This window comes from Homo sapiens, chromosome 6 (genome assembly GCF_000001405.40).
Source record: "Homo sapiens chromosome 6, GRCh38.p14 Primary Assembly".
Taxonomy (NCBI): Eukaryota; Metazoa; Chordata; class Mammalia; order Primates; family Hominidae; genus Homo; species Homo sapiens.
In genome coordinates this window covers 24,720,851-24,731,904 of record NC_000006.12, presented here as the reverse complement: position 1 = coordinate 24,731,904, position 11,054 = coordinate 24,720,851, and the positions used below count along the sequence as shown (strand labels likewise).

Here is an 11,054-nt window from a genome sequence, read left to right as displayed (position 1 = left end):
GCCTGGACATCTAAGTGTTTCCATACATCCTCTGAAATCTAGGCAGAGGTTCCCAAACCTCAATTCTTGACTTCCATGCGCCTGCAGGCTCAACACCATGTGGAAGTTGCCAAGGCTTGGGGCTTGTAACCTCTGAAGCAACCACCTGAGCTATATCTTGGCCCCTTTTAGCCGTGACTGGGGTGGCTGGGACACAGGGCACCAAGTTGCTAGGCTGCACAGAACAGGGGGGCCTTGGACCCAGCCCACAAAACCATTTTTTCCTCCTAGGCCTACAGGCCTGTGATGGATGGGGCTGCCATGAAGATCTCTGACATGCCCTGGAAACATATTCCCCACTGTCTTGGCAATTAACATTTGGCTCCTTGTTACTTATGCAAATTCGGGCAGCTGGCTTGAATTTCTCCTCAGAAAATGGGATTTTCTTTTCTAACGCATCGTCAGGCTTCCAATTTTCTGAACTTTTATGCTCTGTTTCCCTTTTAAAACTGAATACTTTTAATAGCACCCAAGTCACCTCTTGAATGCTTTGCTGCTTAGAAATTTATTCTACCAGATACCCTAAATCATCTCCCTCAAGTTAAAAGTTCCACAAGTCTCTAGGGCAGGGGCAAAATGCCACTAGTCTCTTTGCTAAAACTTAGCAAGAGTCACCTTCACTTCAGTTCCCAACAAGTTCCTCATCTCCATCTGAGACCACTTTGGCCTGGATTTCATTGTCCATATCATTATCAGCATTTTGGTCAAAGCTATTCAACAAGTCTCTAGGAAGTTCCAAACTTTCCCACATTTTCCTGTCTTCTCCTGAGCCCTCCAAACTGTTCCAACCTCTCCCTGTTACCCATTTCCAAAGTCGATTCCATTACTTCGGGTATCTTTACAGCAGCACCCCACTCTACTGGTACCAATTTACTGTATTTGTCCATTTTCATGCTGCAATAAAGACATAACTGAGACTGGTTAATTTATAAAGGAAAGAGGTTTAATGGACTCATTGTTCCAAATGGCTGGGGGGGCTTCAGAATCATGGCAAAGGCAAGGAGGAGCAAGTCACGTCTTACATGGATGGCAGCAAGCAAAGAGAGAGAACTTGTGCAGGGGGACTCCTCTTTATAAAACCATCAGATCTCTTGAGACTTAGTCACTATCATGAGAAGAGCACAGGAAAGACCTGGCCCCATGATTCAATTACCTCTGACTGGGTCCCTCCCATGATGCATGGGAATTGTGGGAGCTACAATTCAAAATGAGATTTGGGTGGGGACACAGGCAAACCATATCAGGGGGTGTCTGATTCAATCTTTAACTCATGTTTAAAAATTGATTGTTTATCTTTTTATTAATAAGTTGTATGGATTCTTTACACATTCTGAATTCTAATCCTTTGTCAAATATATGTTTTGCAGAATTTTTTCCCAGGTTGTGACTTGTCTATTTATTTTCTTAACAATGTTTTTGATAAACAAATGTTTTAAAAATTGGTGATTTTGATTTGTCAATTGTTTCTACCAAGGTTTTGCTTTTAGTGTCTTATCTAAAAAACTTTGCCCACCCTTAAGTCATGAAAATATTTTCCTGTGTTTTCTATATTTTTGCTTTAGCTACTGCATTTAGGTCCAAGAGTCATCACAGTCTTTGCGCATGGTTTGATGTAGTGGTTAAGACCCTCCCCCTGCTAATATGTATACCCAGTTGTTCTAGCACTATCCGTTGAAAAGACACTATTGTTTTCTGATATCTGATAATTCTAGATATTTAGCCTGTTGTCAGTCTGATTTTCATTCCCATGTAGGTGACCTATTTGTCTCTGTTCTGGATGCCTTTTGAATCTTATCTTTTTCCTTATTTCATCTACTATTATCTTGCTTGTCTTTCAGTATGCCCTTTCAATCTGAAGATTCATGGGTATCTCAGCTTTGGCATATTTTCTGCAGTAACTTCTATTCTTGCATTTTTCCCTAGGTTTTCTTTCTGGAATTCCTATTGGTTAGAGCTTGAACTGGGATTAGACCTCTAGGAGTTTTATGTTTTCTAGTTTTTTTCTTTCTCCTTTTTTCTAATGTCATATTTTGACCAATTTTGAAATGTGACAAGTTTATTATTAACTTCCAAGTGCTCTTTCATGTTCTCTAATTGTGCTTTATTTGTAGCATCTCATTGTGATTTCATGTATTAATTTTCTAAACTACCTCTGAGAATACTAACTAGACGCTTAAAAAGCTATTTTTCTGTTCCCCAAATTGTTTCTTGTGTAGTCAGCCTTTATTTTTGCTTCTTCCAGTTTTCGAATTGCTTGTAGCTGATTTTCTTCATGTGTCCAGTGATTTAGGGATACTTTTTTATGTTAAAAAGAAGAAGAGGAAATTAGCTGATTTTCCTGTGTGTTTCCTTTATTATTTTATACAGAGCTGTTTTCCTGCTAGTTAATTGTCCAGAAAATAGAAGAGGCTGACAGGAAGTTCAGTTTGGTGTTTTTTTTTTTTTTTTTTTTTTTTTTTTTTGAGATGGAGTCTCGCTCTGCTGCCCAGGCTGGAATGCAGTGGTACAATCTCAGCTCACTGCAACCTCCACCTGCCGGGTTCAAGTGATTCTTCTGCCTCAGCCTCCTGAGTAGCTGGGATTACAGGTGCCCGCCACCACGCCTGGCTAATTTTTGTATTTTTAGTTGAGATGAGGTTTTGCCAGTTTGGCCAGGCTGGTCTTGAACTCCTGACCTCAGGTGATCCACCTGCCTCAGCCTCCCAAAATGCTGGGATTGCAGGCATGAGCCACCAAGCCTGGCATGACAGGAAGTTCTAATCAGTCAAGTAGAGAGTGCTAAACAGAAAGGCTTCCCTTCAGGAAAAAGTGTCAGGGAGCCAAGAAAGAGGGCTTTAACTGGGGTGTCAACACCAGCATCAGTTTATGAGCATTTAGTTAAAAACTATTGTCTACTAATTGCCCTCCTCCCATTCTCTTAGGTGTTCTGGCTTTGTTCACTTGAAAATTATTTATTACTGTTTTTAATTGTGTATTGCAAGAGAGAGAGACCAAAGAGTGTGTGTTCAGGCTGCCATCTTGAACCAGAGCTTCATTCTATCTTTTCTCAAGCATTTTCTGCTCTTTCTAAATGTGCATCTTCCATTGTATTTAGATTGATATCTTCACTGTCTCATGGATATACCAGGCTAAAATCCACCTTCATGCCCTCAATTATTATGTTTCCTTTTCAGAAATTTCATTCTTCTCTTCCCTCTCTTCTTCCACTTAAATCCAGCAAAATTCTTACCAACTTTCAAAACTTGAGTACGCTTCCTTTGTGAATCTCATCTAACTCAGCTTTCATTGACCTCCTACTTATCTTACTGTTATCCTGCTCAATGCCTGTCAATCACATTTCAGTTCTTAATTATACAGTCTAGTATTACTCACTCTTTTTAGATGTTTATTATTATTTTGGTAACTACCTAAAACTCTTTGGGAACAAGTGTTTATTTTTCTGTAGCCTTCAAAACACACAGCACAGTGTGATTATATAGTAGGTATTCAACAAATATTTGTAATTGATTAACTTCTCTACTGTTGTAGAAGAGGAGGTAGATAACTAACTGCTTATATTTCTTTTTTCTGGAAACATTAGGAAGGCTGTCTTTGAATTGGAAGCTGAGTAGTGAAGCTCCATTTCAGGCAGAAAAAAAAAATTGCTAATTATTCTACATTAAGCAAAAACTTAAGTTTTATAGCATAAACATTGTCTGCTGAAAGCAATGACAATAGATACATCCAGAAGAGTTGAAGCAGGTAGGACAAGAGTGGTTTGGGGAAAAGCAAAAGCAAAATGTGACTAAAAATAGACTTTATAGTCTGGCGTTTCCATAGTGAGTGAGTTCTCCTAACGTTGCTAACAGTGTCAGCTTCAACTAAAGGTTTAAAGGTAAACCAAGAGCAAAAGAATGGTAAATAGTATGCTTCTAGTGTTCATATCACCAAATATATCTGCTTCACCACCTCTTTGGGCACTTGGTAGGCTTGTATTTGTATTTCCTTGATCTCATGAAGTTAGGGGTAGTCATGTAACTTGCTTTGGCCAAAGAAATTAGAGTGAGATTGATATCACTTCCAGGTGGAAGCTTTAAAAGCCAGTGTGGGATTTGTCTCGTCTCTGTTTTCTGCTTCAGGGATCGTGGAAACATGTGATTCTCCATAATTCTGAATTCCTGAAAGCCTATAACTCACTCATCGTGAGTGAATAACAAAGCTTTGTAGTTTAAGCCGCTGAGATTTTGGGGGTTTTATTTCAGTATAATTTAGTCCAGGGCAACCTGCAACCTGCAGGCAAGCTGCCTGTTTTTATACAGTTTTGTTGGAACACAGGCACATGTATTTGTTTATGTATTATCTATGGCTACTTCCATGCTGCCACCCAGGTAAGTAGTTGAAACAGAGATTGTATGGGCTGCAAGCCTAAAATATTTACTTTTACCATTTAAGAAAGTTTGCTGACCTCTAACCTGATCTGTGCTGACTATGATAGACCTAGAGGTCTCTGGTAAAAACCTTTAGATGGCTACTTTTTATTTTGTACATAACATAAAAGATGTTTATAGTAGCCAGTATCTAAGATGGCTCTAGTGATCCCTGCCTCTTGATACTCACACTCTTGTGCAGTCTCTTCTTACACTGAGTAGAGCTGACTTGTATAACCAATATGGAAACAACGGAATATTGCTTCTTTGCCCAGGTCATCAAAGACATTATGGCTTCTATCTCCCTCTCTCCAAGATCACTTACTTTGAGGGAAGCCAGCTACTATGTTGTGAAGCCCACATGGTGAGAAACTGAGGCCTCCTGCCAACAGTCATTTGAGTCAAGCCTTCAGATGACTGGTGCCTTGGCCAAAATCCTGACTGCAACCTCATGAAGAACTCTGACGACAAATTGCCCAGTAAAGCTGCTCCCGAATTCCTGATCCACAATTAATATGAGATAATAAATGTTTGGTATTTTAAGCTGCAAAATTTTAGGGCAATTTGTTACAAACAGATAACATGCAGTGTTCAAACGAAAAGTGTACTGGTACTGTGTATGCTTATATATGTATATATTTGCACATAGGCTTATATATATACTAACATGTCTTATTACTGGACAAAGAATTAATGGACGTCCATAATTATAGTATACTTACATGATTTTAGATAAGTGGAATTACCTTACCTGTGGAAAAAATTGTTATACATGTATATATCTTTCCCATTCCTTTCCAACACCTAATCTTTGTGGAATAGAGAATGGAATGTGTTCTGGGAAGGGAGGAAAAAAATTCTAAAACATTTAAACTTTCCTTCATATGTTAATTGCTCAAATTTGCCTTCTTTGTATGTGGGAATAGGGTAAGAAGAGTGGCACGAACTCTATAATATTTTAACATTTTCTTTCTAAGGATGATGATGGAGTTCTAACAAAAGTGTCAGAAGGTTGCTTTTTCAATTTATCTACTATAACCTTCCTAGACACGTTAAATGGAATAGTAAGAGCATTTTGAATTGTGGGAGTGACATCTGGAATCTAGAAAAATATTTGAAATGAAATTAGGAAGTAGTCAAGAAGCAAAAGTCAGTGAGAGCCCGGGGTTAAGGAAAACTAAATAGAAGTGTGTTTGATAACAAATTGAGACTAACAGGCAAAGATAATGGGTAAAAAATATTCCTTATTAAATGGTACCAGCAGATTTGTTTGGACAGCAATCTGTATAGCTTTAACCCAAAGTGTAAACAAAAGGTGTCTAATTAGTATTTTCTGATAATGCTGGTGGGCATAAAGCATGAGAAGTGGAAAAGAAAAAAAGAAAGGCAGGCGAGAGAAAAAAAAGGAACAGGGGAAAGAAGAAGTTAATAAATAAAGAAAATACATGGTGGGATAGACGTACTCACTTGAAAATGCCTCTGGTTCTTAACCCTGTCCCAAGCTCCAGGACAATGGCTGCTACCTGGCCAAATCTTATTTTTCTTTTTTCTTTTTCTTTCTTTTTTTTTATTTTGAGACGGAGTTTTGCTCTTGTTGCCCAGGCTGGAGGGCAATGGCTCGATCTCGGCTCACTGCAACCTCCGCCTCCTGGGTTCAAGAGATTCTCCTGCCTCAGGCCCCCGAGTAGCTGGGATTACAGGAGTCCACCATCACACCTGGCTAATTTTGTATTTTTAAAAGAGGCAGGGTTTCACCATGTTGTCCAGGCTGGTCTGGAATGCCTGACCTCAGGTGATCCACCCGCCTCAGTCTCCCAAAGTGCTGGGATTACAGGCTAGAGACACTGCACCCGGCTCAAATCTCATTTTTCAAGCCTACAACTTGTTTTAGGCCTTCAATAAATATTCAACGATCAGCCTGCAAATAAGCACTGACCTCTATAGTTTGGGCTAACATGAAATAAGGGTGAGACTAAAGAAGAAACTACCAAGCTATCCCCTGATCCTCCTAAAAAGGGTAAGAATAGCTCTCAAAACAAACATAGTTTCTCCTCTTAATACCCTTTTGGTTTCATAACCATGCAGCTCTGCTGTAGATGCGAGGTCTGTATGTGCTAGAGTACATATTGTGAAAATCCCCATTGGATTATGAAATTTTATTAACACATAATATCATAATTATCTTAGATGATAAATCTGTAGAGTTGAAATCTGGAGACAAGATCCTTGGTGTGGCTGCTTTCAGGATCAAACTGTAGAGCAATAGAACTTGTTCTCAAGACCTGTAGAGTCTAACCATAAACTTGTTCTGCTGTAGACGTTTATCATGCTTATTGAACTGTTAATCATAAATATGGCCAAAATTCAAGGCCCATGTCTGACAAATTTCATAGCACTAATGAAGGGACAAGATGTTTGAGAACCCTGAGAAGTCTAATATGCTTGAGCATGTTGAGAAAACTAGATTTCTGTAAAAGAAGAGCATGTGTGTACAGACAATGTATGTTTTAAAGGTAAAAGAAAAGGCTGGCTCTTTTTAGAAAAGTGAAGGCCAATTGTTAAATACTTTATTGTTTATCTTATTGTCATTTATTTAGGCTACACAAGCACAGGTTTGAGAAATCATTTCCTAACTTGCTATAAATGTCAGAGACTGGGATTATCCGAGGTTGTCCTTCTTTAAAGATTGGAAGTTAACACAGGAGCCCGCCCAAGCTGGCCTGCATTGTGTTTCTTCAGAAAGGAGGCTCGCACAGAATCTCTATAAGGTGTTATTTCATTAAAATGTAACCTTTGCAGTGATATCTGCATTTCAACCAGGGAAATTTCAATGTATCTAGTGGTATAATTTAAAACTCCAAAAGGGAAGTTAAGCAGATATTTTTAGCCAAGGTGCCACCATCAAATCATCACTCCACAAATCCTATTGTGTTTGAAGCAGCCTAACCCTAAGTAAGCCATTTCTAACACAATGAAATGCATTTCTCCACAGTTAAAGAAGCTAAATCTTAAGTGAATGCTCTCTGACTTTTATCTGAATTTCATTGAGAAACGTTTGGTCACGGCTTTTAAAAATTTTAATTCCTTCGACTACCTTCTTATTTTATAGCCCTTTCAAGTTACAGAGAAAATTGAGCTAGCAGTGTTTTCGTCCTCCAGGGGACATTGCTGCTATTTCTTGGCTCATCTCATTAAGACCTAGCACAGTCCCATAACACAGTTTCATAGGATGTGCTCAGCTGTGACCAGGTGTCTCCAATTCTGTTTCACAGTAGCTGAAACTAAAAACTTCATTTTTTCCTCAACATCTGCTCCATACTGTTTTTTTCAGGATTATTATAGTAGTGAAAAAATTCTTCAATGGTGTATTAGATAAAACAACAAAAGCACAAGGGACAAATGAAAAACATAGATAAGTTGGACTTTATTAAAATTAAAGACTTCCGTGCTGCGAAGGATATCACCAAGAAAGTGAAAGGACAGCCCACAGAATAGGGGAGCGTATTTGTAAAGTATATATTTGACAGGGAACTTGTATCTAGAATAAAAAACTTCTACACCTTAATAATTAAAAAAACAATTTTTTAAATTAAAAATGGGTAAAAGGCCGAGCTTGGTGGCTCACACCTGTAATCCCAACACTTTGGGAGGCCGAGGTGGGTGGATCACTTGAGGTCAGGAGTCTGAGACGAGCCTGGCCAACATGGTGAAACTCCGTCTCTACTAAAAATACAAAAATCATCCGGGCATGGTGGTGGGGGCCTGTGGGCCCAGCTACTCGGGGCTGAGGCAGAAGAACTGCTTGAACCCAGGAAGCGGAGGTTGCAGTGAGCTGAGATAATGCCACTGCACTTCAGCCTGGGCAACATAGCGAGACTCTGTCTCAAAAAATAAATAAATAAACAAGTAGATAAATAAAAATGGGCAAAAGTTCTGAATAGACATTTCTCCAAAGAAGATATTAGAACAGCCAATAAGCACATGAAAAGATGCTCAACATCATTAATCGTTGGGGAAAGGAAAATCAAAACCACCATGACATACATCATACCCACTAGGATGGTTATACTAAAAAAGACATAATAACAAGAATGTGGAGAAATTGGAATACACTGCTGGAGGAAATGTAAAATGATGCAACAGACTTGGAAAACATCTGGCAGTTTCTCACATGGTTAAAGATAGAGTTAACATATATCCCAGTAATTCCACTCTTAAGTATATGCCCAAGAGAATTAAAAACATACGTCTATACAAAAGCTTTTAAGTAAATGTTCATAGCAGCATTATTTATAACAGCCAAAAGGCAGAGACAACTCAAATGTCCATCAACTGATGAATGAATATAGAATTTCATACAATACATATTATTCCACAATAAAAAGGAATTAAGTACTGATACATGCTACAACATGGATGAACCTTGAAAACATTATGCTAAGTGAAGAAGCCAGTCACAAAAGACCACATATTAAATGATTTCATTTATATGAAATTTCAGAAACGGCAAATCTATAGACAGAACATAAACTAGAAAGAAGAGAAGTGACTGCTAATAGGTACAGGGTTTCTTTTTGGGGTAATGTAATGGCTGCACAACACTGAATATATTAAAAACCATTGGATTGTACACTTCAAGTAGATAAATACGGTATGTGAATTATATTTCAATAAAGCTGTTATTTTAAAAATTCTTCCATGAAGTTGATCATGGATACAAGTCAAGGCCAGGTCAAGAACATATAAGCCGGCTGGGAATGGTGGCTCATGCCTGTAATCCCAACACTTTGGGAGGTTGAGGCAGGCGGATCACCTGAAGATCATACTGGCTTGTATGTCTCATATGTTTGTTTGTTTTTTTTTTTTTTTCCGACGGAGTCTCACTCTGTTGCCCAGGCTGGAGTGCAATGGTGCGATCTCGGCTCACTGCAATCTCCGCCTCCCGGGTTCAAGCGATTCTCCTGCCTCAGCCTCTCGAGTAGCTGGGACTGCAGGCGCCTGCCACCAAGCCAGGCTGATTTTAGTATTTTCAGTAGAGACGAGGTTTCACCATGTTGGCCAGGCTGGTCTCGAACTCCTGACCTTAGGTGATCCGCCTGCCTCGGTCTCCCAAAGTGCTGGCATTACAGGCGTGAGCCACCATGCTCGGCTTACTTTTAAAAATCTTTCTTTTTTAAACCAATGCTCTAAACTACGTGACATTTTCTGTTTTATCTCTGTGAGCTTTCCATAGTTACATGATTTTGAAAACAAATCAGCAAAGCACTAGCAAAATGCAAGCTGTATCTTCCGAGATTAGAAGTTATTTGGAAATCTCAGGACTCATCCTTTGGTTCTGGACAATTTATATTGAAGGGTGGGTACCAGTTATTCTTTTGGCTCATGGCTGAAATAATGTTATTACAGCTGATCTGTTTTGACTTCACGAAGTGAAAAGTAGTAATTGGGGTCCCAATGGACTTCTAAAATCTCAGAGTAGCCAATGAGTATATAAGCATTGCTTATGTGGAGTATTGACCTTTGCTAAGTACTTACATAACTGTGTTTTAAAGAGCACATTAGAGCTTTGAAAAATGGACTCAACGCTTTTTGGTGCCAAGGACGTGCGACTCGGCGGCAAACGTTTCGATGAAGACAGTGAACCACCTAAGGGGCAGGCTGTAGGTCTGAGGTCTTGGGGGATTCTAACAGAAAGTGTGTTCTGACAGCAGTGGGTAAAAATCCACGAGTCAGACTGGGCTGCTCCTCTCCTAAGCCACAGCAGCAACGTCTGAACAACGTCTTTGACCTTGTTCGAAGCTTGAGGACCGCCCTCCCTGCCTGCGCACGTGGCGGGGTGGGGACAGAGGCAAGTAGCACTAACATGAGACATCTGCTCCCGCACGCCGTTTAAATTCCAGGTGTCGAATTGAGTTCTAGGTTTGTTGCCGCAGGATACCGCGGGGCCGACCCCCAGGACTAACTAATTATAAGAATCGAAATAAGAATCTTCCAATCTCCAACACACACTTTCCTTTTCCTTCTTTGCTCCGCCCCTACCCTCGCCCACTCTCCGCCGACTTCCGCAGTTTTGGCCCGCCCAGGTCGCTAGTTCGGCTCTGTCACGCGCCCAGCCTGACTCTGAGAGGCTGACGAGACTCGGGAAGTGCGACTCCATCCGGGTGTTTTGTTGAGGATGGTTGAGGGCGTGCTTTTATGACGACATCGGGGCGGGGCGAAGAGCCAACTCAGGAGACTGGGACTTCCTGAAGAAGGGGGGCGGAAGGAGTGGCGGGGAGCCCCCCCCTTTCCACGCCCCTTGGATACTCCATACTGGAGGAGAGAGGAGTCTCAACTCTCAAACTCCCCTTTTGAGGGGCGATTACTGAAATGGAGAGGTTAAATTCAAAGGCTCCACTTTTAAAAGACCTGTCCCTATTCCGTACTCTTGATCTGTTTTCCTCTTTTTCGGTAACCTTGAAAACTTTCCCACCTCCAATCCTTTCTCCCCCTTTGATTCTGCGCAAATGGTGGGGTCCCGCAGGGCGCGCAGTCGCAGTCACACCGGGGCGGTGCCGGTGAGAGGCGGGTGACGCAGCGGCCGTCGCTGCCATTTTAAGTTGTTTGTTC

The 11,054-nt window shown here is 40.4% G+C and overlaps 5 annotated features.

The window, feature by feature from the left end:
• Positions 9,689–10,482: an enhancer, noted in NCBI's record as "NANOG-H3K27ac-H3K4me1 hESC enhancer chr6:24721651-24722444 (GRCh37/hg19 assembly coordinates)". NCBI's record gives its function as "activates a minimal SCP1, AML or CMV promoter by ChIP-STARR-seq in naive H9 embryonic stem cells {active_cell/tissue: H9 hESC(naive)}" and the evidence as "EXISTENCE:reporter gene assay evidence [ECO:0000049][PMID:30033119]".
• Positions 9,689–10,977: a biological region, named in NCBI's record as "NANOG-H3K27ac-H3K4me1 hESC enhancer GRCh37_chr6:24721651-24722444".
• Positions 9,908–9,997: an enhancer, noted in NCBI's record as "active region_24156". NCBI's record gives its function as "activates an Ori minimal core promoter by ATAC-STARR-seq in GM12878 lymphoblastoid cells {active_cell/tissue: GM12878}" and the evidence as "EXISTENCE:reporter gene assay evidence [ECO:0000049][PMID:35858748]".
• Positions 10,048–10,097: an enhancer, noted in NCBI's record as "active region_24155". NCBI's record gives its function as "activates an Ori minimal core promoter by ATAC-STARR-seq in GM12878 lymphoblastoid cells {active_cell/tissue: GM12878}" and the evidence as "EXISTENCE:reporter gene assay evidence [ECO:0000049][PMID:35858748]".
• Positions 10,228–10,977: an enhancer, noted in NCBI's record as "active region_24154". NCBI's record gives its function as "activates an Ori minimal core promoter by ATAC-STARR-seq in GM12878 lymphoblastoid cells {active_cell/tissue: GM12878}" and the evidence as "EXISTENCE:reporter gene assay evidence [ECO:0000049][PMID:35858748]".